Here is a 5,372-nt window from a genome sequence, read left to right as displayed (position 1 = left end):
AAATTTCACTTGCTCTACGAAACACTGAAACCTGGAAATCCTACTCTGGATGAGTCTCAGGTTTTCTATGTCCTGCTTAAAGTACAGTTCCCAGAAGCTAATACAGTATTTTAACATGTGACTTACTTAATTTTCCCAAAAGTGTTCTTAGTATGTTCTACTTCCCAGGTAGTATGCATTTCAAAGGAGTCATCAATGCCTTAGCTGAATGTTTTCCAAATTGTGATTTGTGGAGATGCTTCAGCCAGAGAAGCTCTGTTTTCATCTGTTTTCTACATTGGGTTTCCATACAAGATTTCATTTGACAAATCAAACCATTTATCTGGTTAAAAATAAGTTTTAAAAGTACTGCCTAGACCAAAGGAATGATTAACAATTGATGTTTCTTATGCTAGGAAAGACCAATAGAAAAAATATTTCAGGATCTTTCCATGCCCCTTAAATCCCAGATTTCTTCCCTTTTCTCATTGGTCTGTTGCTGCTTCAGCATGCCTGTTGACTCACTCTTTATGGGGTATGACTGTGACACAGAGCAAGCAACTCGGAGATGAGTCCATTTACAGAGCAAACACGGTCCTTACTGAAATCTCTCATTGAAATCTCCCAATTTCTCAGAGAAGTTGATTGTGCTAAAACCTGAGTGAATAAACCAGTGTTTAACTAATGATGTCTTTATGCTTGTACACTACTTTTTCAGGACATATACTTCTGTTTACTGATTTTTTTTTTTTTGAGATGGAGTTCCGCCTCCTGGGTTTAAGCAATTCTCTGCCTCAGCCTCCTGAGTAGCTGGGATTACAGGCGCCCACCACCATGCCCAGCTAGTTTTTTTTTGTTTTTTTTTTGTATTTTTAGTACAGACGGGGTTTCACCATCTTGACCAGATTGATCTTGAACTCCTGACCTAGGGATCCACCCACCTCAGCCTCCCAAAGTGCTGGGATTACAGGCATGAGCCACCGCGCCCAGCCTGTTTACTGATTATTTCTATATGAAAAAAGTCCCTACCTAGCCAGCTTTGAGAATTGCTGTGTTACTTCCTCACTTTGGGCTTCAAACTGCTTTTTCCTGGTTTCCCTTTTTAAAAAAAAAAAAAAAATACCATTTACTTTTCTATTACACTGAAGAATAGTTTATATGATTTGCTCTTAAAACTCTGGCCAGCCAGGCATGGTGGCTCACGCCTGTAATCCCAGCACTTTGGGAGGCCGAGGCAGGTGGATCATGAGGTCAGGAGTTCGAGACCAGCCTGCCCAACATGGTGAAACCCTGTCTCTACTAAAAATACAAAAATTAGCCGGCATGGTGGCGTGCGCCTGTAATCCCAGCTACTCAGGAGGCTGAGGCAGGAGAATCGCTTGAACCCGGGAGGCAGAGGTTGCAGTGAGCTGAGATGGCGCCATTGCACTCCAGCCTAGGTGACAGGGCAAGACTACGTCTCAAAAAAAAAAACAAAAACAAACAAACAAACAAACAAAAAACCTCTGTCCAAGGTGGAGACCATAAGGTAGTTGTTACCAAGCTAGGAGGGAGGTCCAGTTTCAGGAGAAGAACTAGAACAAACTTCTTGAAAGCTCTATCCATGATCTGCACCCTTCACTGCTTGTACACTAAAAAAAAGAAGAAAAGAGTGGGAGAAATAAAGCAAAGAAAGCCCGAGAAGAAGAGCAAAAGAAAGTGGGGTTCTAAGGGATAATAAACATGAAATCCAGCACTCAGACCAATTTATAATGTAAAACATATTTATATTGACAAAGCACTATAACCAAAGGTTTACACACATGAATGAGCATATGTAACAAATTGGGACATTTTTCTCAAATATGCCAAGATTTATGAAGTCTGGCAACAATCCCTTTGCTTTTTCTTATAACAACAGCTGCTAATTCCCTCTGTGACTTCTAACTGCCCAATTTTGTGAAAGTTGGATCAGTTTAAATTTAGAAGATACTCTATTCCAAGAAATAAAGTTCAAAAATGGAGTCATCTTTAAGTTAAATATGTCCAGGCCAAAATGTTGTCTTTCTGCTTCTGTTTCTTCTGCATTTCCTTCAGAAATGGAGAAGTACCAGTTCACTCTAGGTTTTAGCACCAGCTTTGAAATAAGTTGCTGTCTGAACTACAGCAAGCTACTCCTCCCTTCTCTCAGTCTTCTCCTGTGTAAAATAGGTAAATAAAACTAGATAATTTGCAAAGGTCAACCCAATGCTCCCATTATTTGTTCTATTCTTTTTTTAAAAAAAAATGTAGACTTTTAATAACTGCTTTTATCACCAGGTTAAGCCATGCAGTTACAAAGTAGTTAGAAATTTCTGAAGGATATTATAGTTAAAAAAAAAAAAGCTGATTCTTACACATATATTATCTAGCACTTCATGGGGACACTATTGTTCAAAAGGCCCTGGCCAAATAACTCCCAAATGAAACACTCAACCCAAGGTTGGTTTCAGCCCACTGTTAGTGAAGCTGGGTGCAGAATGCAAAGCCTCTAAAAGAAGAGGATACAAAGTCAGGTGAGTAGGGGCCATTGGCAATGCTCAGAGCCAGCCAGACTCCAAACAGGGAGCCCAAGTGGTTTTTTTCTGGGACACTCTACTTGAATTATTGTTTAATTAGTCAACCATAGATCTTCAAAAGAGAACAATTAGTTAACATGATAAAAAGGTTACTGCATTCTTTGGACTATGTGTCATAATTATAACAGCGAATTCTGACAGTTTTAACGAAAATAGCCTCCACCGTTTTGCAGGTATGAAGATAACGTAATTATCCACAGGGCTTTTAATGTTTGCTGGACAACAATACGTGAATGATAAGCTACAAATGAAACTTTTATGATATAAAAATACTGTTTTTTTTCATTTATTATTTTTATAGGCATTCACTGAGTCAAGGTTAGGCTTGTTAAGTGATTAAAGGCAATTTTATTACAGCAGCATGTACTTATTCTATTCTAAAAGAATAAAATTCATAAACAGAAACAGCTTTTATATTTGTTTGCAATCTGCAAAATTGAGTTATTTTGCTGATATAAAATACTAAGAACTCACTTGAGGACCATGCCACCTTCTGAAAAGGCCACACACCTTCTTCTTAAATGTGTTAAAGTTACAGCGTGTCCCAGACTCATCCAGAGCAAAATAAGTAAGCAACTGACTGCTCTTGACTGTCCCTTCCCCAGCACTAGCACTGATTGTGCTGGGAAAAGCCACAGAGCAAGGCTGCACAGCCATATGGAGGAGGCTTTTTATTTAAAGGCAAAATACCAAAATAGCTCTCTGGTGTAGGTGATTTCTACTTTCACACTCAGCTTGTATATTAATTTCTTTCTCCTTAACGGGCTGATTTGGATTGACTTGTTGAGAATGGTATCCATTAGTAATGAGTCAGGAGAGAAAGGGATTTCTGTGGTTACATGTAAACTTGTGGTAGGTCTGCAGAAGTTACACGTGAAGAGGTTAGTGAGGAAGTCAGCCATGATCCATCTATGTGAAGGTCACACCAGCTTCACTGTACACTTTGAAGACTTTTTCAATGGCATTGACATAGGCAGCTGTTCTCAGGTCCAATCCCAGGTTATACTTCATGGCTGTGTGCATAATTTGCCTGGCAGAACGCTCCATTGTGTATGCCAAGGCAGAGTGCACAATGTCTTTCTCAGATGCACCCGATATACTGTCTTGGAACTCTGCCGTGGGTACAATGGGAATAGTTCCACCATGCTTTCCAAATTTTCTTTCTAAACTCTCTTGAACAGACAGGAGCAAGTGGTAGTTAGAATCCCTTTCATATTTGAAGGTCAAACGGCCATAGCTGACATGATTTAGATTCTTCAGCCACTCAAAGTAAGATACTGTCACTCCTCCAGCATTCAAGTAGAGATCTGGAATAACCAAAATGTTTCTCTCCAGGAAGATCTTATCAGCTTCTGGAGTTGTTGGCCCATTGGCACCTTCAGCAATGATCTTGGCTTTGACTCTGGGTGCGTTGGATTTGGTCAACTGCTTCTCAGTGGCAGCTGGGATCAGTATGTCACAGTCGACCTCCAAGATGCTTCCTTCATAGGGCTTTGCCTTGGGGAAGCCCAGAATGGACCCATGTTGCAATTTGAAGTCTTCCAGTTCCTTTGGGTCAATACCATCTGGATTCCATATACTCCCATCAGACTCACCAACAGCAATACATTTAGCACCAAAACGATGTAAATATCTCATAGAGTGTAGGCCCACATTACCAAATCCCTGAACAACAAATGTTTTATCTCTAAACCCTGGTGTCATTCCTAAAATGCTCATGTAAGAAGCTTCATTGATGAAGTTTTCAATCCCATGGAAGACACCACGGCCAGTAGCAGAGATGCGTCCATGGATTCCCCCTTGGCTGATGGGTTTACCAGTAACACAGGCGTGTGCATTAATATCATAGTGCCCTATGGTGCTGGCATAGGTATCAGCAATCCAGGACATCTCCCGCTCACCTGTGTTCATGTCTGGAGCAGGCACATCAACGCCAGGACCAATAAAGCCCTTCTTTGCTAGCTCCATGGTGAACCTCCTTGTGATCTTTTCCAATTCATTTTCGGTATAGTTCTTGGGATTGATCTTAACACCAGCTTTAGCACCCCCAAACGGCACATCAACCACTGCACACTTGTATGTCATCAGAGAAGCCAAAGCTTTTACTTCATCTACACTCACATCAGTGCTGTAACGGATACCTCCCTTGCAGGGCGTGCGGTGCTGGCTGTGCTGGGCCCGGTAGCCTTCGATGACCTCCCAGGAGCCGTCGTCGCGCCGGATGGGGAAGGAGAGACTCAGCACATGGTTGCAGGGCTTGATGATCCGCAGGATGCCGCGCACCCGGTTCCGCTTCTGCTCCTCGCTTTCCTGGGTCCTCAGGTCCTTCACCAACTTGTCCTCCACGATGCTGGCGCCGCGATCGAAGAAGCCCTCCACCATCTTGAAGAAGTTGGGGTCGTCCTCGCGGTCGGCCACCAACTCGCTGTAGTGGCGCCGGGCGGCCAATGCGAGCCCCGGCTGCGAGGCGGCGGCGGGCTGTCCGCGGCCCCGGCCCAGCAACGCGGCCGAGTGGTTGGCCGCGGAGCCCAGGGCAGCGGGCCCGGCCCGGGACGGCAGCAGCGCTTTGGCCAGGTAGCGGTACATCGCGGCAGGCGGAGGAGGGGTGCGTGACGGTCGCGGAACAGGTGCGCTTTCTCAGACTCCCCGCGACTAGGAAGGAAGGGTCCGGCGCGGGTTGCCCTTTTAAGCCGCAGCTTCCTGCCTGCCCGGCTGTCCCCTCCCCTTGGGCGCCACCTAACGGGGAGGACGGACTTTGGGGGCAGGGCGCCAACCAGGGCGCCGGACCTCCGGGTC

General features: G+C 44.1%; 1 protein-coding gene across 1 annotated transcript; it reads right to left on the bottom strand.

The window, feature by feature from the left end:
* GLUD2 (glutamate dehydrogenase 2) lies at window positions 2,753-5,237 on the bottom strand. The gene has a single exon (NM_012084.4). It carries the CDS (start codon window positions 5,160-5,162, stop codon window positions 3,486-3,488), a length of 1,677 nt encoding a protein of 558 aa, NP_036216.2. The 5' UTR covers window positions 5,163-5,237; the 3' UTR covers window positions 2,753-3,485.

This window comes from Homo sapiens, chromosome X (genome assembly GCF_000001405.40).
Source record: "Homo sapiens chromosome X, GRCh38.p14 Primary Assembly".
NCBI classification, from domain to species: Eukaryota; Metazoa; Chordata; class Mammalia; order Primates; family Hominidae; genus Homo; species Homo sapiens.
This window is presented reverse-complemented; position numbering and strand designations above follow the sequence as displayed.